At 35.9% G+C, this 22,058-nt stretch overlaps 1 protein-coding gene and 1 non-coding gene across 11 annotated transcripts in view, besides 1 other annotated feature; both read left to right on the top strand.

Moving 5' to 3' along the window:
- The window catches only part of C1orf141 (chromosome 1 open reading frame 141), a 49,482-nt gene extending 29,790 nt beyond the window's left edge, over positions 1 to 19,692 (top strand). For 3 of the 10 annotated variants that reach the window (XM_011541466.3, XM_011541465.3, XM_017001276.2), the window contains exons 5-9: positions 213 to 280; positions 8,475 to 8,619; positions 15,536 to 15,605; positions 16,436 to 16,622; positions 18,253 to 19,692. In XM_011541466.3, coding sequence (XP_011539768.1) covers positions 213 to 280; positions 8,475 to 8,619; positions 15,536 to 15,605; positions 16,436 to 16,622; positions 18,253 to 18,852 — 1,070 coding nt within the window. In that variant the 3' untranslated portion in view covers positions 18,853 to 19,692. Of the gene's footprint in view, positions 1 to 212; positions 281 to 2,695; positions 2,737 to 2,784; positions 2,829 to 8,474; positions 8,620 to 15,535; positions 15,607 to 16,435; positions 16,623 to 18,252 lie in introns of those variants that run through there. The other 7 variants (NR_075077.2, NM_001276352.2, XM_011541467.2 and 4 more) reach the window with 6 other exon arrangements.
- LOC124900434 (small nucleolar RNA SNORA31) lies at positions 9,078 to 9,212 on the top strand. Its single transcript, XR_007067390.1, has one exon. It is a non-coding gene; the product is annotated as a small nucleolar RNA SNORA31 (small nucleolar RNA).
- Positions 14,105 to 14,723: an enhancer, noted in NCBI's record as "NANOG-H3K4me1 hESC enhancer chr1:67562817-67563435 (GRCh37/hg19 assembly coordinates)". NCBI's record gives its function as "activates a minimal SCP1, AML or CMV promoter by ChIP-STARR-seq in naive H9 embryonic stem cells {active_cell/tissue: H9 hESC(naive)}" and the evidence as "EXISTENCE:reporter gene assay evidence [ECO:0000049][PMID:30033119]".
- Positions 19,693 to 22,058: the final 2,366 nt, after the last annotated feature.

The following is a 22,058-nucleotide window of genomic DNA, read 5'->3' as shown; positions in this document are numbered from 1 at the left end:
ATTGAAAGTTATAGTCTGTTAATAGAAATTCACTTTAAGGCAAATTATTCTAAAATAGATTTAGCTCTAACCATGTACAAGCAATGCATATGTAAGTAAATAAAATTATTCTTTTACATTTCTTAAAAGTTTACTGCAGTGGAGAAAATGGTTGATTGGGTTTAATTAGAAGTAACTTAATAGCATGGAAATACTTATGTTTGTTTCTTTAGAGCCAGTAGAAGAACATCTAAAATCAAGATCTATTAGACCCTATCTTTATCTTAAGGATACAACTGAGGTAGGTGTAATTTGTATACTCAGTAATTACTTAATAGAAATTCAAATTAGTCCTAATAATTTTATATATGCTCCTACAAATCCAAAATTCAAGTGAATTTTAGGATTCAAAATGATAAAATGTTAAAGTGATTTCATCTCTGATATTATGTAAAACTTTATGTATGGAGACAGTAGAGAAGATAATATATTATTTGTTGGAGATATTTCAATACAGTAGAGATTATTGAACATGGTAAGGACTAGCACTTATAAAGTCAGTTAAGACAGAGCATCATAAAAAACATACATGTAAAACTTAAACATCCAAATTTATTAAATAAAAATATATATCAATTTGTTAATCTTTTAATGTGTAACCAAGACCTTTTTTTGAGTATGCTATGTGTGGTGGTTAATTAAATTACATAATTGCAATAGCAACTACCAGAAAGAGGTTTGGAACCAACACTATTGACTCTTGATAATCACTTCAGCAGAAGTTCATGGGCATGCTGAAGAGTGACTAGCTCTGAGCATTGAGTGTGCCTTGGACATCATTCAGTAGTTTTTATATAGGGAACTATAGAGATAAATTAAACCAGAGAATTAGCAAGGGAAAGTCACTTTAGAGAGTCTCTTAAGTATTAATTTTTGTATTTTATATATATATAATATATATATAAAGAAATATGGAGAAATACAGACTTAGGGCCATAATTAATAACAAATTTTTGTTGCATATTCCTATATTTTATAATTTAAAAAATATTAAAAGGATTATCAGTTTTATCTTCATCTACATGGTTTATTTAATTTCATGTTTTATTTAGGTTCATGGTTAATAAAAGTCCCCCAAGCTATGTATTACAACATAACGTCACAATCAGGTTACTTATCATAATACATTTACTAGCATCTTATGTAAAAATTATAAAATTTTAGTTTTTTAAAAATAGAAATATCCATGTGATATTTTAAATGCAAATAGTAGAGAAACACTAATAAGCACACACAGCCCTTTCATTCTCTGCTTCCTCTTCTAATTTCCTCTTTTCAGAAGCAACCAAGTTTAACCTTTTTGGGTTTCAGTACCTTATAAGATTAACTCCATATTTCTAAAGAATGAGTTTCTACTGCTGATTTTAATTTATCAACTTTAAACATTATCTAGTGAAAATCAATAACAAAGATTGTTTATACCACCGTGCATCCTGCCTCTCCCCACTTTCCTCTTCTGGATCTTTGATAGTTACTTTTTTCCTTTCTTCTATTGTTAATTTTTGCAACTTGAAATAATATATCTAACTTTTTTCCCATCATTTTTAATCACTAACTCCTGATTCCCCTTTATATATGATGAAGATCTTAACAGTTTTATCCTGTCTTCCAACTATCTTCCACACTTCTTCCCTAGGTCAAGTATATATTTATTTACTTTCACATTTTTTAAGTCAACTATTATATTCAGCTTTGAACTCTGATTAAGTTGTTTGTAGGTTAATTCTAAAACTCAAAATACTATTAACAGCATTTATATTATTATTTATAAATAATCATTTCATTTACATTATAGTAATGTCTCTGTAATAATCATTACCGAACAAAGTAATGTGCTTGGATTACCTTTCTTCTCAGTGGGTACAATTTAACAACAATGGACTCTTTTTTCTCTATCTATTACTAAAAAAATGCCATGTTTTAGTTTCCCTCATATTTAGACCTTAACTGTTCAGTACACTTTTATGTTTTTTCTTGGACTTTCTAATGGCCTTTCTTTTTTCTTGTGGGAAATGATGATAATAATATCAAACATGTAATTGCATATGTGCCTCAAGCACTATTCAAAGAAAAATTACATCCTCAACAACCCAATGACGTAAATACTATTATCCCTGAGAAAAAAGAGGCACAAGGAAGATAAGCAACTTGCCTGGGATCAAATAGTATATGACAGAACCAGGAAGAACCCAGCAGTTTGATTCATGCTCATTGTCACTAAGATCTGCAGCCTCCAAAAAAGAAGCATGTAACTTTCTTATCATATGTGAAAATGATCAAGTTTTTTATTCATTCTCTCTATTGTGTGTAATCCATTCCAATGTTCTTGGAGGAATTGTTCATGAAGCCCAGTGACTTCTTGTTCTAAATTTGACCTGTTACCTATAAGCCTACTTTTACATTGTCATTCCATTCCTTTGCTCAGTTCCTCAGATTCTAGTATCCCATGTCTCCTTATTCCTTTTTTTTTTTTTTTTTTTTTTTTTTTTTTGAGACGGAGTCTCGCTCTGTCGCCCAGGCTGGAGTGCAGTGGCGCCATCTCGGCTCACTGCAAGCTCTGCCTCCTGCGTTCAGGCCATTCTCCTGCCTCAGCCTCCCGAGTAGCTGGGACTACAGGCGTCAGCCACCATGCTGGCTAATTTTTTTGTATTTTTAGTAGAGACGGGGTTTCACCGTGTTAGCCAGGATGGTCTCGATCTCCCGACCTCGTGATCCGCCTGCCTCGGCCTCACAAAGTGCTGGGATTACAGGCATGAGCCACCGCACCGGCCTACTTTTAATTCTTTAAGGTATTTTCATACTGTTTTCCATAGTGTTTATACTAGTTTACATTCCCACCAACAGTGTAAAAGTGTTCCCTTTTTACCACATCCATGCCAAGGTCTATTTTTTAAAAAATTTTTAAATTATGGCCATTCTTTCAGGAATAAGGCAGTATCTCATTGTGGTTTTAATTTGCATTTCCCTGATAATTAGTGATGTTGAGCATTTTTTCATTTGTATATCTTATTTTGAAAATTATCTATTCATATCCTTTGCCTACTTTTTGATGGGATTATTTGTTGGTTTTTGTTGTTTGTTTGTTTTTTTGAGACAGAGTCTTGCTCCATCACCTAGGCTGGAGTGCAGTGGCACGATTTCTGCTCACTGCAACCTTCACCTCCTGGGTTCCAGTGATTCTACTGCCTCAGCTTCCTGAATAGCTGGGACTACAGGTATGCACCACCATGCCCAGCTGATTTTTGTATTTTTAGTAGAGATGGGGTCCATGTTGGCCAGGCTGGTCTTGAACTCCTGACCTCAGGTGATTGCTGATTTTTATCATATGTGGTTGCTATGGTCTGAATGTGTACCCTCAAAATTCATATGTTGAAACTTAATAGCCAATGTGATGGTATTAAGGAGTGATGCCTTTAGGAGGTGATTAGGTCATGGGGCAGAGCCCTCACGAATGGGATTAGTGACCTTATAAAAGAGATTCTAGAGAGCTGTTTGCCCCTTCTCCCATGTGAGGACACAGCAATAAGGCACCACCTATGAATCCGAGAGCGAGCCCTTACTAAACACTAAATCTGCTGATGACTTGATCTTGGACTTCCCAGCCTGAAAATTGTGAGAAGTAAATTTTTATTATTTCTATTACCCTGTTTAAGGGATTTTATTATAGCAGCTTGAATAAAATAAGACATTGGTACATTTTTATTTGTGATATTTAAGAATGAAGATGGGGTTAATTTTTCCAGGAAGCTGCCACTAATTTTACAAGTAAGTCTATCCCCAGAATGAAAACCTAACTGTTCTGTGTATATGGCAGAGTTCTCAACCACCTTACTTTAGGATATGAGGGCAGGGAGTAGGCAGTTTGACTGGTAGCCTTTTTTGCAGATGCTACCATAAAGAGAATTTTGCTCTCAGGAGCCAAAACCCACACTAGCAGGAAGTTTATTAAGAGAAGGACACTCTTTGTTTTAGTGATCTCGGCTCACTGCAACCTCCACCTCCTGGGTTCAAGCGATTCTCCTGCCTCAGCCTGCCGAGTAGCTGGGATTACAGGCATGCGCCACCACGCCCGGCTAATTGTTTGAATTTTTAGTAGAGACAGGGTTTCTCCACGTTGGTCAGGCTGGTCTCGAACTCCCCACCTCAGGTGATCCACTCACCTCAGCCTCCCAAAGTGCGGGGATTACAGGCGTGAGCCACTATGCCAGGCCAGATGTCTATCTTACCTGATATTTATAGAACCACTGCAGCCTTCTTATGCATCCCGTTTACATAGCATATATTTTTCCATCAGTTTACTTTCAACTTATATTTATAGTACATTTTTTATATACAGCATATACTTGAGTCTTGCTTTTTAAAAAATCTATTCTGACAATTTCTTTTCATTGAAATGTTTATTTTATTAATGTTTAATGTAATTGGTGATATGGGTGAAATTAAGTCTATCATTTTATTCTTTTTTGTTTGCCCCTGTGCTTTTTGTTTCTCTGTTCCTTCTTTCCTGCCTTTCTTTGGATTATTTGAATATTTATCAAAATTTCACTTTAATATATCTGTTGGATTTTAGTTATCTCTCTTTTTATTTGTTTGGGATTTTTAGTGGTTTCCGTATAGATTAAAGTATACATCATCAACTTGTCACAGTCTACTTAGAGTAAAATTGTACTACTTCACATAAAGATGTAGAAATCTTTAAATTGTATAGTTCCATTTACTTCCCCAAACCTTTGCACTATAGTTTCTGTATGTAATACTATAAACCCTACAGGACAGTATTATAATTTTTGCTTTCAGCAATTTGCTGTGTTTTAAAGAAAGTAAAGGGGACAAGAGTCTCCCTCTGAGGCTCTTATTAAACATGTCAGACTTTTCATTATTGTCCTACAGGTTCCTGAATCTCTATTTTTTCATATTAAGTAATTTCTATTGATCTATCTTTAAGTTCTCAGATTCTCCCCTCAGATATTTTCACTTTGTTTTAAGCTCAACCAGTTAACAGATATTACATGTTTTAATTCTATAATTTCCATTTTAAAAAATAGTTTCTGTTTCTCCGGTAAGATTCCCTATGTTTTTCCTTTACTTTGAACATATTTTACTTTTTTCATGAAGCATAGTTTTTGTTTGTTTGTTTGGCTGGTTTCTGTTTTTGTTTGTTAGATGAAGTCGTGCTCTGTCACCCAGGCTGGAGTGCAGTGGCGCAATCTCAGCTTGCTGCAACCTCTGCCTCCCAGGTTCAAGCGATTCTCCTGTCTCAACCTCCTGAGTAGCTGGACTACAGACGTGTGCCACCACTCTCAGCTAATTTTTTTTTCTTTTTTTGTATTTTTAGTAGAGACAGGGTTTCACCATGTTGGCCAGGCTGGTCTCGAACTCCTGGCCTCAAGTGATCCACCCGCCTCAGCCTCTTAAAGGGCTGGGATAACAGGCATGAGCTGCCGTGCCTGACCCATCAAGCATAGTTATAATAGCTGCTATAAAATCTATTAATTCCAATATCTGGGTCATTTCAGGCTTGGTCTTGTTGGGTTATCTTTTATGTTAACACTAGGTCTCACTTTCTTGGTTCTTTTAGGTCAAGTTGGATTGATCTTGGGCATTGTGACTATTGTATTGTGAAGACTCTGCACTCTCTTGTCCTACAAAAATTATTGATGTTTTTGTTCTAGCAGTCAATTATCTTGATTGTACTCAGAATACAAAATGACTCGTGAACAGCAGCTCAAATTTTAATTCAGTTGTTTTATCCTTAGCTGTCTGCTTGCAGGAGTTTCTAAACATGCATGGTTTAGGGGTTAACCAGAGACTTGAACAGGTAGTCCCTTACACATAGGAGTCTCTCATGCAGGGAATGGAGCTGCCATCTTTGGCTCTCTTCTTTCTAGCATTCCTTTCTCACTTTCCAGCAGCTCTGTTTGTCCTAACTTTGTCTTCTGGTTCTTCTGGCCAGAAACAACGTGGTTTTTCTAGCAGAATTTTAGATGCTCCATACAATGCCAACTTCAGTCTGCCTTCAAGCTAAAAGCTATACAAATAGCAGCTCCACCCCATGCAAGTCAGTTATACCAAGTGTCAATACTTTTTCTTTGCCACCTGCTTTTGTTTATTCTCCAGGACCTTAAGGTCATGTGTGTGCATGCATGTGTGTGTGTGTGTCTGTGTGTGTGTCTGTGTGTGTGTCTGTGTGTATTTTGTCTAGAGCATTTTGTCTAGAGTCTATGGTTTTCATCTGTGGGAGGGTAGGTCTGATAGAGGATTACTCAGCTACGTTGAATCAGAATTCCCCAGTCTTTACTATTTTTATTATATTTTCCTGTTGCATTATTGGGCACTCCCTAAAAATTTATAAATAATTGTGGTGATAGATGTTACTGTTGCCATGTCATAGACTAATATATTACCATTAATGATGATGTTGGCTGTTACTTTTACACATATATAGAATTTTTTAAATTATGTTTAAATATTCTTTTTTTTTTTTTTTTTTTTGAGAAATAGTCTCGCTCTGTTGCTCAGGCTGGAGTGCAGTGGCTTGATCTCAGTGCAATGCAACCTCTGCCTCCCAGATTCCAGCAATTCTCCTGCCGCAGCTTCCCGAGTAGTTGGGACTATAGGCGTACACCACCACACCCGGCTTATTTTGGATTTTTAGTAGAGACGGGGTTTCACCACGTTGGCCGGGCTGGTCTTGAACTCCTGACCTCAGGTGATCCACCCGCCTCGGCCTCCCAAAGTGCTGGGATTACAGGCACGAGCCACCGTACCTGGCCAATATTCTTTATCACATTAAGAAAATATTATCTTTATGTAGTTTTATTATAGTTCTTATCAATAATAGTTGTTAAATTTATCAGATTTATCAGTATTGCAGCTGTTAAAATAATTACAACATTTTAATCCTTTTTGACCTATGGGTAATGAGTTATAATAACATATAGAAACCTTTAATTTCTTGATGGTTTTATTTGGCTGTTGTAAACTTGTACTAGTCTAGTGTTGATTGGTATTTTATTTTAAATTTGTGAAAAATCCTGAAGTCATAGGTAAGATTAGCTTGTAAGCTTCTTTATTTTTCCAGACTTTGGCTTTTAAGACTATGCCAGCTTATAAAAAGAACTGAAAAGCTGTTTACTTTTTAATTTAATTGATATTATATTGCATGAGAACAATTTGTTCCATGAAAGCTTAAAACAACTTATTTGTAAATCTATCCGGGGCTGGTTACTCTTTTAAACTATGTTTTAAAGGTAGTTATTAGAAACTCCCTTACATTCCTTTTAAGAATTATTGATATGCTCCAATTTTCTATTCCTCATGACAATTTTGTTAATTTTTCTTTAGGATAAATTTGCTTTATTTGTCTTTCAAGACATCTGTGGTCTATCCCTCTCACAACTCGTCTTCTTACCTATTTGAACTTATCTTTTAATCCCAATAAATAATAAATGCCTTCCTGCTATAAATATGCTATTTTTCTGCCTGTCTTATGAACATTCCAGGCTTATGCTGTTGACCTCGCCTGCAATGCCCTCATCTTTTAAATCTTAGCATTTTCTTCTTCCTCTATGAAATCTTTCCTGTCTATTCTAGTCTTTATTGATATCCCTCCCTTTTTAAACTCTTCCTCATTTGTAGATTGTATTGATTGGTTTGCTTTTTAGTAATATTACTCTATTTTATTTACTACTGTTTTGTGTATGCAAATCCTATCTATACCATAAAAATGTGAGGTCTTTGTGGCCTAGACTTTTGTCATATACCTTATTTTTATTTCATATTATCCAGAACTAAATATATTCTGTGCCTAGTGTGAAAAACATATGGGTTCTAAACATTTATTTGTTTAGCTTGTTAACAGAGAATCACAAAGTATTCAGTTTATATTAACATGTGCATATGTATATTTTGAGCGCCTAGATATGTACATTTTAATAAAAAATATATGGACCCAATCTGCCAATCTGATACTCTAGCTTAGGAAAAGCCAGATCATTGTTTTTCAGTTTCTTCTCTACTCAGAACTGATCTGCTGTACCTACTCTATGTTAGAGAGAGTAATAGTTTGTCAAAACAGAGAAGGCTTTATTTCCCAGCATTTGAACTTTAGACTTCCCCTGAACTTAGAGAGATAAATTTTATGTGACTATAAAGGCTAAGTTTTATAGACAAAGAAAATAAAAATTAGTAAAAAATGTGAGCATAAGCAGATCTTTTAACTTGTGAAGGTTTGTTTTTTTATTGATAATGCCCATCTCATAGTAGGTTTTTTTGAGAATTAAATAAATCACATTTTAAAATATTTAAAGAACCAGACAGCTGTTAGTTATCATAATTCAATATTGCAAATGTGAATACTCAAGCATAAATTATTTATTAATATACACGGAAAGAAATAGTTTCTAAGATAATTTTCCATTTTTCCTGATGTTTAGATGGAAAATGCAGGGCCTTTGAATGTTCTATATTCACAGCATAGACAAGCATGTAGAAGATCACTGGGTTCTACAGACTTTTCTCCTATGTTCAACATTCAGTCTAATGCTCATAAAAAGGAAAAAGACTCTACTTTATTTACAGGTATACAAATTGCATGTTTACATTGAAATAACTGAAAGTTATCTGCACCTAAAATTAGTGTGTAAGCATTAAGAAAATCTTTATCCAAGGAATATTCGTCTTTGATCATACTACCATAACGATCTTTCTCCAGCCTTCTTTTCTTACTCTTAAACCTATCCACACCACACTGATTCTAGTCATATTTAATAGGCTGTTTTACTTAGTTAACCAAATTACTGTGTGATTTGATTCATTGTCTGTTGTCTATGCTTAAAACATATGTTTTCACCTGATGGATTCCTGATTGTCTTTAATAGTTAAGAGATTTTAGCCCTAAGTAAAAGAAAATCCAACTGCCTGTAGCTTAAACAGTAAAGATATTTATTATCTAAAAAAAAAACAAGAAGTCCATCAGAAAGGCTTTTGCAGGGTTGACTCATTCAGGGGCTTTATAATGTCATCAGATATTCAGTTCCATGCATCTATTTGACAGACCTGGAGTAGTTACTGTCTGCTGCTAAGGTTTCCACTACAGATGCAAGAAAAAAAATATTCTCGAGTTTTCTGTCTGTCTGATTGTGGCCTCTGAGATTGAATAGAGGAATACAGTGGGGGAAAAAATGTCCAGTTCCTCTCTCTTTCGTCAATGGTCTTAGCAGGTAGCTTGTCCTCCTATCCTTGCTGTACAATATGATGACAACTATTCAAGATAGGTTGTGTGACTGGAAATGCTTTTTATGCCTTGGTAAGAATGAAAAAAAAATGTTTTCCCAACGCCAACTCCCCCGTATGTTTCTTTGTCTCAAATAGCCTCATGCATCCACATCTAAACCAATAAATCATCATTGGCTTAGATCACTTTTTCCAACTTTTAACATGGCCACAGTAAGAAATGCTTTTTATATTACACACACACACACACACACACACACACACACACACACACACGGAGCAGAAGATTCATCTTCCTAGAGTCCTAATTATCTCTCTTTCTCTCTGTCAGTTGAATTTGATTGTAGTATTTCTGTATTTTGTACAGTAACTACTAAGGATCCAGATGATACATTCTGTTATACTCTATTCTACTTCATTTTTTAAAATGCTGTTCAGGATACACTAAATTGATTTCGCAAGACATGAATGGTTTGTAGCTCACCATTTTGAAAAACACAGCTTAGATTACTCAGGATTTACTCTATTGAGCCAGGAAAGATCCCAGCCTTCTTTGAAGGACGCGGTTGCTTGGAAGGAGGTAAGATTGGAGTGCTGTTAGTAAAGAAGGGTAAAAAAGAACTGTGAAGTAGGCAACCCTCTGTTTACTACATTATCCCTTAAGGTTCCATTAAGATGCCACATCTTCTCTGAAGTGTTCCCTCAAAGCAGCGACAGGATGTTCTATTAGTTCAGCAAAGCAATCTCCCTTTAGAAAAGTTCTTAAGCCTCTCTGAAGAAGCATTTTATCCTTTTTATCAAAGTCTCAAAGTAAGACTTCTGGGAAAGTTGTCAACATAAATACAAGTTCAGTTCATCCTGGCCAAAATGAATAACACAAAAAGAAAATAGGGAAGAAAAATTTATTAAATTGAAAGTGGGACATTTTATCCCTAACTCAAAGAAAATCTGCCTCATATTATAATATGAAGCAGTTTGAAAGAATCTTCCAGAAGTCAGTGCACAATTCCATTTCTTAGGAGAAAGGAATAACCATTGAAAGAGCCAGTAGAGAATATTCTGAAAAAAATCCCCTGTTATAACCACCTACTCCATCACACACACACACACACACACACACACACACACACACACTCTTACATTCAACATAAAGAAATGGAGTTTGTTACCAATGATAGGTCAGAGAAAGATGCAAAATTGTCCCCCTTGGGATTCCTTTCCTTATTGTAAGTCAGCAGCATTCAAAGTCTGTGTTAGCAATATTTGGAGAGAAATGTAACGATCATAACTTGTCACTTTTTTTCTCTGGCTTCCTCGTATTGCTTTAGATGTACTCAAAGCTAGGGTAAAAACCTCCTAACTTGAAGGAGCAGGGACTTGAAAGGAGGGTTGATAACAGAAGAGACAAAATACAGTTTTCTAGAAATGATTTTTGGACTGTGACCAACGATAACTGTGCAAAGAAAAAACATGATTCCATCAAGTAGCCTGTGAGCCATGAGGCCCTTACTTGACTAAATTCCTCCCCCAACTACCAAACTAAGTTGCTTACCCAAAGAGAGAGATAAAAAAATGAAACCCAAGTGACACCTCACACATAAACAGAGTACTCACCGCCACCACCACCACCCTGGGGTCATGAAAAGGTTTCACAAAATATACAGTGCCCAGAAATAAACTTCTCCACGATCTTCCAGGGCTCCAGCTTCCTTAGCAGCCTACTGAGGTAGCTAAGTGCCTGAACTCATAATATAAGGTAACGACATCTGGATTTACATATTAATTTCTAAGGGGAGAGTTTAACAGTGCCCAAGTAAACAGGGAGAACATCAAAAAAATGTACATCTATTGTTTTTGGACAAATAATAAGCCCAGATTTAAGTGATCTGATTCAAAGTTGAGCAGAAAGAAAAATAAGAACAAATCATGGGACCTATGAAAAAATTCCTTAGCAAAGAGAGGTCATAATTTAAAAGATAGCTGATGGTCACATTTTGGCAGAATTTGTACCCCATGAACCAGGAAAAAACTTAAACAATAATTGCTCTATATGCTGAAGGAGTTAAAGAAAAACAGAATTCTATGAAATAAGATTTGGAAATGTAAAAGATAATCATCAAGGATGAAATGATGCTACCAGAATTTAAAAATATTTTTAAAGAAACAAGTAATGCTACTAGGTAACTTAAAATTATATTAAAAGCAGCAAAGAGTAAAATAAACATTGAAGTAAACCAAATTGAAATCTGAAAAGCAGGTGTAGGAATATATACAACGTGCAGTGTAAGGGGACAAAAATATGACCACATTAGACAAGATAGTATTTTGAGGGAAGAAAACAGGTATCCAACACTGAGATAACCAGTGTGTCTGAAGGAAAGAACAGAACAAATCAAATAAATTGACTAAAAGGGGGCAGGGGAAAACGATCTGAGAATAATGGAAATACTCTATATCTTGATTTTACTTACATGAGTGCATATATTTATCAATGTTTATCAAACTGTGCATTACATTAAAATATGTGTATTTTATTGTACGTAAATTATACCTCAGTAAAGCAAAGTTAAAGAAAAAAACAAAAGGCTGACATGACAGAAGTCTAAAACACCAAAAATACAATAGATTAAAATAACTGCAAAAAGCTTATACAAGTGCAGCAAATATTCACAATATTTCATTTAAAATACAAAATACTGTTCGTTTTTAAAGACAATGCCAATTAAATACATAGTAGTTTATCAAATTCTGTGCTCATCATTGACTCCTGTATCCTGCCATTTGTGGTTTACTTATTTATTTCTTTTGAGACAGAGTTTCACTTTTGTTGCCCAGGCTGGAGTGCAATGGCGCAACCCTGGCTTACTGCAACCTCTGCCTCCTGGGTTCAAGCGATTCTCCTGCCTCCTCCCAAGTAGCTGGGATTACAGGTGTGCACCACCACGCCTGGCTAATTTTGTATTTTTAGTAGAGATGGGGTTTCACCATATTGGTCAGGCTGCTCTCAAACTCCTGTCCTCAGGTGATCCACCTGTCTTGGGCTCCCAGAGTGCTGGGATTACAGGCGTGAGCCACCACACTCAGCCCCATCTGTGTTCTATTACATTTTTCCTGAAGAGCATGTGTTAGTCATTCTTTCAATGGTGACCTGTTGGCTATTAACTCTTTTCATCCTTGTATATCTGAAGTGCCTTTATTTTGCTGTCACTCTTGAGAATGACAGTTGAATTTATGTAAATGTCTACACTGTAAATTATTTTTTCTCAGCATTTTACAGATAATTTTATTATCTTCTTGAATCATTCATAGATTAGAATTCTGTTCATGGTCCAATTGTCATTCCTCTACAGACAAACTTTTTAACTTTTTGGTAGTTTTAGGATTTTTCTCTTTATTCTTTACAATCTGCTTTTTTAGTACAAAGTATCTGGATATAGATGTATTCTGTCTGTCATCTTCAATCCTTGAAATACACTTCTATCAGTTAGAATTATTGGTTATTATCTCTTCAAATATAGATTCTTTACAATTTCCTCTATTTTCTTCTTCCAAAGCTATTGGGTAAATGTCCAAGACTTGCAGTCTGTTTTTCATGATTTTGAACTGTTCTTTCAGGTTTTTATTTATCTTTCTATGCATTCTTGGCAAATCCCTCAACATTTTCTCTCAATTCATTAATTCTCCCTTTGTCCATGTAATCTAGATTTATATTTCTTACTTCCAAGATTTCCAGTTTTTAAAATATTGACCTGTTTTTATTTTTACCTTAGTCTGTTTTTACTGAATACTAGCTTATTCTCTAATGTGAGTATTTTTTATTTATACCCTTGAAATTTCTAAACATATTTCATCAAATCTAAGATGTCATCAATTGACACTGTTAATTAAACTATGACGCATGCTAATATACATCTTAAAATTGAGGTGTATATCTTAAGATGGCAAAGGTTTTCAGGTTATTTTTAGATTCTTCTATTTAATTGTAGTGCTGACCCTCTTGTAGATTTTGTTGGCTGCCTTTCTAAAATTTATATTTTTCATTTTTTTATTATAATATTTTTTTTGAAACTGAGTCTCACCCTGTCGCCTAGGCTGGAGTGTGGTGGCACGATCTCCACTCACTGCCACCTCCGACTCTGGTTCAAGCGATTCTCCTGCCTTAGTCTCCCAAGTAGCTGAGACTATAAGGCGTTCGCCACAATGCCCAGCTGATTTTTGTACTTTTAGTAGAGATGGGGTTTCACCATGTTGGCCAGGCTGGTCTCAAACTCCTGACCTCAAGTGATCCACCCACCTCAGCCTCTTAAAGCGCTGGGATTATAGGTGTGAGCCACTGCACCTGGCAATATTTTTCATAGGTTTTAGAATTTTAGAAGGCTCTCTGTCTCTTATTCACCACTCACTATATGTCACTCTTTCCTTTCCAGAAGTTTTGCAGTTGCCATTACTCAGACCTCGTGACCCTCAGGCCAGACCAGATTTTAGAGTTGTGAATGGAATTCGTCTGCCAGGGTGACAATTGGGATATGGTAGATTGGCAGATTCAGTCATCCATCTCTGGTGTGGTTTGACTTAGTTCCAGGTTAGCCAATTGGCAATGGAAAGGAGTGATTTTTATTCTCCTTTCACAAGTCAGGGATCCTTAACCCAGCACCTTGTTTCAGTCAGTGGGCCTGTTTTTCTCTTACCTATCCCATTCCTGCAAATGGGAAAAAGTTGGATCTCCCTCTAAGTAGAAACTGAAGCCAACGATTTCCCACCACTTACACTGCTACAATCCTTATCGAGTCCACCAACATGTTCATCTAGACAACAACAACAGCCTCCTAATTGGTTACTCCATTGCTGCTCTTGCCACCCACATTCCCCCTTCTCCCCACAGACCATCCATCACTGAGCAAGCAGAGTGATCTTTCTAAAGCATAAATGAAACTGCATTATTGTTCTGTTGAAAACCCTCCTAAGGATCTCTATTGTAACCAGAATAATATCTTAACTCTTCACCATGGCTTATGTGACCCTAGATGACTTTGCCCTGCTATGTGCTTCAACCCATCTTACTCCACTCTCCTCCTAATTCACCACACCCAAGCAACACTGGCCTCTTTGTTCTTTCAGCATTCCATGCTGGCTTCACACTGAGACCTCCACACTTGCTGTTTCCTCTGCCTCTTTCTCTTTACTCAGATTTCAACTCAAATATCCCCTCTTAAAAGAGGCCTTCTATAGCCACCCTAGGTGAAGTACTATGTTTATATTCTTCCATGGTACTTGAATGCTGCAAATACTTCCAAATTATTCGAAATTATATTATACATTTATTTGTTGGTTGGTTTACTTGTTTTTGTTGTTGTCGGGTTTTTTTTGTTTGTTTTTGTTTTTGTTTTTTTGAGATGGGGGTCTTAGTATACTGCCCCAGCTGGCCTCAAACTCCTGGCCTTAAGCAGTCCTCCCACTTCAGCCTCCTGAGTAGCTGGGATTACAGGGGCGCACCACCATGCCCCTTGTTTACTTGTTTATTGACCATTTCCTCCCTCTAGAACAGAGCTTCCCAAATAGTACTGTGGTAACCTGTTGTGCTTGGAGGGGGTTATAGGTGTGCTGAAATATTGATTCCTTAGCCATCAAGGCTGCTCAGTTGGCCCTGTGGTAGCCTGCCCAGACTCAAGCATTTATTCCAGTATACTGTACAAATAATATTAATTAGTATGCTTGCCATTATATGGGAAAGACTGGGAAGTACTGCACTAGAATATAAACTACTTGAGGACAAGGTAAAAGCTAAAACTGTTACTAATAGCATGTGTATCTAGAAAAATGCTGGAGTGGCCACCAGACATATTTGGAAGAGATCAACCTTGGATGATGCTTACTTCATGCCGCATGGCAAGATCTGTTTGATATCTGCAAACTGTCTTCCCTGCCTACCAAGTGATAACCGTCTGAAGCTTCCTACTGGTTAATAATGGCTCCACATATCAGAAAGATTTGAAAATTTAGGGATGTCTTTCTTCCACAAAAAAATCTCCAAGACCACTTTTATGTTTGATCTGTTTTAGCCAAATACTAGGGCTTCGATCTCAGTCTTTTCCAGTTCTATCTAGTTCATTCAAGAAATATTTACTGGGTAGCTACTACAGACCAGGCACTATACTAGGTACTTTCCATATGTTATTTTAAATTGTAAAATATTTTGTGCAAGATATTTTCCTAAATGTCAGAATATCTATGTGTCTTTTATGAAAATCTTTTAAAATTTCAGCTCAAATTGAAAAAAAACCTAGGAAACCATTGGATTCTGTTGGTCTCTTAGAAGGTGATAGAAATAAAAGGTAATTTATTTTAAAATGCTTAATACTTTGTTCTGTTTAATGATGTTTCTAGTAGGACACATTTTATAATTGACAGGAATAAATTTATTCTGCCTTATTATTTAGTTCCACAGCACAATCCAATGAATGGTCCAAGACTGCTTAGCCACTAGATATCACATCCAGACCTTGAGTATTGTTAAATGGAGAGAAAGGCATGGAAAAATGAATAGAGGGAATACAATTTTTTTTTTTAGTAAATACACACATTTACTTACATGACAACATGGACATGAAAAAGTAGCTTTTCTTTGGATAAAGTTCTCATTTTTCTCATGAACCCTTCCATCTCTGTATAATGAAAAAAATCATTAATCCAGTGTGTTTCAAACTTTGTTTGAATCAATAATGAACAAGCACTTTAGGTTTAACTCAGTTTAAAAATTATATCCTGTCTCTGCCTGACCACACTATTCTATCCTCTTAACAAAGCTGGGGCCACCCTATGTTGGCATGAAGCTGCCCTGTGGAGCTTCTTCCAGAATTTCAACATAGGACGTTGCAAATACCTCTCTACCTTTGGTGTTCTCCTCAACCTACGTAATAATACAACTCGTCCCCACTCAAAATCCAAAGAGGCATATATATGACTCTCTTGCTTCCACTCCTACTCTTGCTGTTTTCTCCCACAAACCAGGCAGGACGGGATGATCTTGTCGGTTTGAAAAGTCTGTGGGAGAGAGGTTGGTGCAGAAGTTGGCAGTGACTTCCAGGGATAAAAGGAGGCAGACAAGAACTGACAAGCTGTAATCAGCCCCATGAACACTACCCTGAACTGTGTTTATTTTCAGAAAAAAATCTCCACAGATGAACGATTTTAATATAAAAGAAAACAAATCGGTCAGAAATTATCAATTAAGTAAGTATAGGTCAGTAAGAAAGAAAAGCTTGCTCCCGTTGTGCTTTGAGGATGAATTGAAAAATCCACATGCCAAGATAGTCAACGTTAGTCCAACAAAGACAGTAACTTCTCACATGGTAATAAGCATATCATCTATTGTTAAGTAAATATGTGTAGTCATAAGACTTATGGGAATCACCCATATATTTTAGTGACCAGAATCTTTGATAAATCCTTTTTACCTCTTGGTTTCATATTCCAAAGTGATAACAGCACTTAAGTTCTTAATGCACTTTGCACAACTCCCAAACCAGGGATTCCTTTATACCAGCTGAAAATTCAGTGTTTTTCTTTATGAAGAAGCCTTTATCAAATTTGCTTGATTATAATAGAACTGTAGAATAAAAAGAATTTTTTAAAAATGGCTGTACCAATCTAGCAGAATGCAGTGGTGTGCACCTGTAATCCCCGCTACTCTGGAGTCTGAGGCAGGGGAACTGCTTGAGCCCAGGCATTTGAATCCAGCCTGAGCAATATAACAAGACCCCAGTTCTAAAATGATGGGACCATGACCATGTGTCAATTTTTCTAACAATCTGTTTTGGCTTTTTCAACCAGAAAGTGCATTTATTAAAGGCTATTTAGTAACTCATGCTCTCTAGAGAGGCAATATGGCTCGAAAGCTGTCTAGTCAGGAATCACCTAATTATATAGCCCCAGACTGCTCCACTGAGGCCCATGCTATTGTCACAGATAAAAGTTTACAACTCTGATGCTGAGCAGGGAATACTCTAAGACATTTGCTACTGCTGTCATTCAAAGCTAGATGTAACTCCTACCACCCTCACTAGAATAGTTTTCCCAATACTTTTTCACAGTGCTTGCTTTCTCTGAACTGAAGACTTCATAGGTGTATCTGAATGGCAGAGCCTAGGGCAAATGCCTATGTCCTAACCGCAAAGAAGCTGATAAACATGGTTCTTGCCTCTACCTAAGGGTACATAGACTTGTCAAGTGGAAAATTCCCTAAGGTGTTGGACAGACCAAAAGCATTACAAACATCCATTACTATGGCTAAATAGGTAATATTGGCATCACCAGTGGATTGCAAAACTAGATCTTTGTCATCTTTTCAGTAATCATAGCAGACTTGGATATTACTGCGATAAAAATGTCTATTCTTAAGTCAATCTATTACTTTGGCTATTTTATTCCACAAATATATATTGAGCACTTTTTAGGTGTCAGGTATTGTGCTAAGTATTAGGGTACAATAATAACAGTTGTAGAGATAATTTTTAATTTTTTGAATTACTTACTAGAATATCCAGATTTGTAATTTTGGCTTGTAATCAGTTATGTCTCTTCTGAACTTTGACTCAATCCATTTTTTGGTATGCTTTTTAATTTCTAGAACATGGAAACCTAAGAAATGCCAGAACAACCACCTTATTTCTCAATGACAGTACCCCAGATATTTAACAAATATATTAATTTTTTCGTATTCCAATTTATTTCAAAAAACATTTAAGGCCAAAAGTTCAAGTTTTATCACTAACATCTCTATAGAATATTAAGATAAGAAGGATGTATGTTACATACAAGTACAGTATTTTCATGTATTTGAATAATGCTACTGTTCATATTAAATATTTGTATGTAGTCATTTTTAGAATATTTTACAATTTTATTTACATGTTTTAAAATATATGGAGCTTTCTTGACTCAATGAACTTATGACTAATTATTCTTTTCTTTAATCTACAGGAACAAAAGGACACAAATCCCATAATTTTCCATGACACAGAATATGTACGAATGTTACTTTTGACAAAAAATAGATTTTCTTCTCATCCTTTGGAAAATGAAAACATTTACCCACATAAAAGAACAAATTTCATTTTAGAAAGAAATTGTGAAATCCTCAAATCTATAATTGGCAATCAATCTATTTCTCTTTTCAAACCCCAAAAAACTATGCCTACAGTACAGAGAAAAGATATACAGATCCCTATGTCTTTTAAAGCGGGCCACACAACTGTAGATGATAAACTAAAGAAGAAAACTAATAAGCAGACACTAGAAAACAGATCTTGGAATACACTCTATAATTTCTCACAGAATTTTTCTAGCCTAACAAAACAATTTGTGGGTTACCTTGATAAAGCTGTTATTCATGAAATGAGTGCCCAAACTGGAAAATTTGAAAGAATGTTTTCTGCAGGAAAACCAACGAGCATACCCACATCCAGTGCCTTACCTGTCAAATGTTACTCAAAGCCTTTTAAATATATATATGAACTAAATAATGTAACGCCACTGGATAATTTGTTAAACTTATCAAATGAAATTTTAAATGCCTCATAAAATATTATGTATGCAGCAATATTTGAGTAACAAGAAGCAAATATCCAAGTTCCAAAATTATAAAAGAAATTCTTATCCAAATAGTAATGTTCTAATTGATCATATAAGAAAGCAAAGCATAGACATTAGAATTATAAGTCAGCAGTGGTCTGTTCAAGAACAATCAACATTTTTAGAAAATAGTAGGACAAAATTAGGAAATAATTATCACCAAGAGGATCTAGTTCATGACTTTCTATTATCTCAATTAGATTGCTCAATCATCAGCCTTCCTATACTAAACTCTGATTCAGGACCAAGAAAGGCATAGTCTGACTCTGGAAATGCGCTGTTGGAAGCCAAATAACATCAATACTCTTGTTCTATAATTGAATATCAAATAAGACAAATTACCATTAATTTAATGACTGTGGAGTTAATTGTATACCAGCATTTCAGCAAATCATCATCAATAGTATTACATTAGCAATTTATGCAATTAAAAGGGCTTTGTAAAACTTTGAATAGATTTTATTGTCATTAGTAGCTGTTGGAACTTCATTATTATATAATGTTTTTGCAAACTTTAACTTTTTTCTAAATTGTTAAATAAAAGAATAACTATCCTTAATCTAAATAATTTTGGTAGCAAATCCTATAAGGTATTAAACATTTTAAGGTATATTATTACATTGCTATTTTACTGTTTCTCATTAACCCAAACAGTTTAAAGGCAGAATTCCACTTAGAAACAAGTTGCATTTTGAAAGTTTATTTGTAATCCATTTGTTTGGAATTCAGAAATGTATTTCACATAAAAATAATCTTGGAAGTAATAAATTCCAAAATTAACTAACAAAAGCTTACTTAAAATTTTATCCCATAGAGCTTATGTGAAAATCGTAAAAAGCAATAATTTTGTAATTCCAATAACTAATAGAGAAAACTGAGTAAGGAAAGAATTTTTCAATCTTGACTGTTACTACTTGAAGAGAAACAGATTAAATTAAATGCATTTAAGTTAAGAAAAGGCTTTCGGGGTTCTTTTGGAACATTTAAGGGTGAGGAGGTAAACTGGTTTAGGTTCCTCTGCTTCTACTTCAGACTGGAGATTTTCTTTATTGTGCATAATCATCAATACCACTCAGGAGCATCTTTACAACGAGAGGGAGGTTTGGACTCTCAAAAAGAATGACAAGGAGAGAAAAATGGAGATGGAGGAAGAGAGATGTACCTGGAGATTGTGTGAATGAGAGAAGAGAAAGAGAGAAAAGCTTTGAGATAAGGTGTTGGGCTCGGGTCTGTAGGAGGTAGGGAAGGGGCATACCAGGTTCCCTTGCTTCCAGTTGCTGCCTGGGAAAAGGAGAAGCTGCTGCAGCTCCAAGTCATGAAGCTGTCTTTCTCTTTTCCCCTTCATTCTTTTCTGGTTGCTGTTATATGGTCTCCCCCTGTTTTCCCTCCATCCAGACTTACTGCAAAGCAGAACAGCTTCCCTAACTACATTGCCAACTTAGAACATAAAACACAAACTCTTTTTAAGCGCTAACGATCAGAATAACAAGAATTAGAAAATATACCTAATATTAGTACTAGTCATGATGGTAGTTTCTGTTGATACTTAGTATCAGAGAAGCAAGTTTGGGCCTTGGAATAGGGCAGATAGGAGCAAATTGGGGCAAATAATGTAAATTATCTGCACTTCAGTTAAATTGTATCTCCACCTTAAAATGGAGACAACAATAATTTATTACACTGCTATTCTCAGGATTAAATAAAATAGCATCTAGTACTTTGAGCCTTGTAGCATTCAATAGAAATTTCCTTTCTACTCCCTCCCTTTCCCTGTAAGCCTGCTCTTAATGTAAATGTGACTTCTTTTCTTTCTTTTTTTTTTTTTCTTTTTTGAGATGGAGTCTCGCTCTGTCACCCAGGCTGGAGAGCAGCAGCAGCGCGATCTCGGCTCACTGCAACCTCTGCATCCCGGGTTCAAGCCATTCTCCTGCCTCAGTCTCCCAAGTTGCACACACCAGGTGTGTGCCACCACGCCTGGCTAATTTTTGCATTTTTAGTTGAGACGGGGCTTTTACCATGTTGGCCTCAAGTGATCCACCCACCTTGGCCTCCCAAAGAGCTAGGATTACAGGAGTGAGCCACCACGCCCAGCCAGTGTAATTTCTAAAAAGATACTCCCAAAAGTCTCTCACTCCAATCTCTTCTAAATTAAATGCTAAAAACTACAGTATTCAGATTTTAACCCAAGGTGGGCTGAAACTACTACTGAGAATTTCTGTGTTAGTTATTTTTGGGAGTTTCTGCTGGAGCTTGTGAGCTTTATCCTTTAAGAAGGCACTAAATTAACTTTAAAATTACATTTGGCTAAGGATTCTCCATTAAAGCAGCTCAAGAACAAGGAGCAGTGGATTCTGAGAAGATGACAACCTAAGCTCTACTCCAGCTTTAATCTGTCATCTCCTAAACTAAACAGCTACTAGGGTCTTCAAGCAGCAGAGTGCAAGGCCAGACTTGGCTTGTATTCTGATACTGAGATCTGAGTATGGCCTTGGAGGCCAGTCTCTGTTCCAGGGAGAGGATGGAGTTTGTGCTGTTTCCTGGACTAGTTGGGATCTGTGGATTACTCTAGGTAAAGGTTGTCTTTGTCCCTCTGTAAATGCTCCTGGTCTTATTGGCCCCTAGGACGCCAAAAAGGAGCCACTATGTCTATCTATAAGATAGCTGGGAAACCAGAGATCCATGAATTTTCTTTCAAATGCCTCATCGGGGAACTGTGGTCTGCTTACTTCTGTTAAATTAAATAAGCAGGAGGCCATTTGCCTGAGGTTGTCTCTGTACTTTGAGTTTTTATATAACAAACTGCAACCTAATTTCATACATAAGCAAACTGAAACTTAGGAGTATAATAAATAGTTGAGTTTCATCTGATCACAAGCAGCCAGATTTCAGCCAGGTTTCTGCCAATCATAGGCAGCCAACTCATCACACCAAGCCCAAATAAGGCAGACACTTAGCTGTAGCCAATCAGGTGATTTCTCTATTTTGCTTCTGTGTTCAGCCTATAAAAGCTTCCTACTAACAATGCTAAGCAGAATCCTTCGTACCTCTTCTGGTTCTGAGTGCTGCCCAATTCATGAGTTGTTCTTTGTTCAGATAAACTGTGAAATTTAATTTGTCTAAAGTTTTTCTTTTAACATTTTTATAGTGCCAGCCCA

This window comes from Homo sapiens, chromosome 1, assembly GCF_000001405.40.
Source record: "Homo sapiens chromosome 1, GRCh38.p14 Primary Assembly".
NCBI lineage: Eukaryota > Metazoa > Chordata > Mammalia > Primates > Hominidae > Homo > Homo sapiens.
Note: the sequence above shows the minus strand (reverse complement) of the source record. Positions and strands in the feature narration are given on the sequence as shown.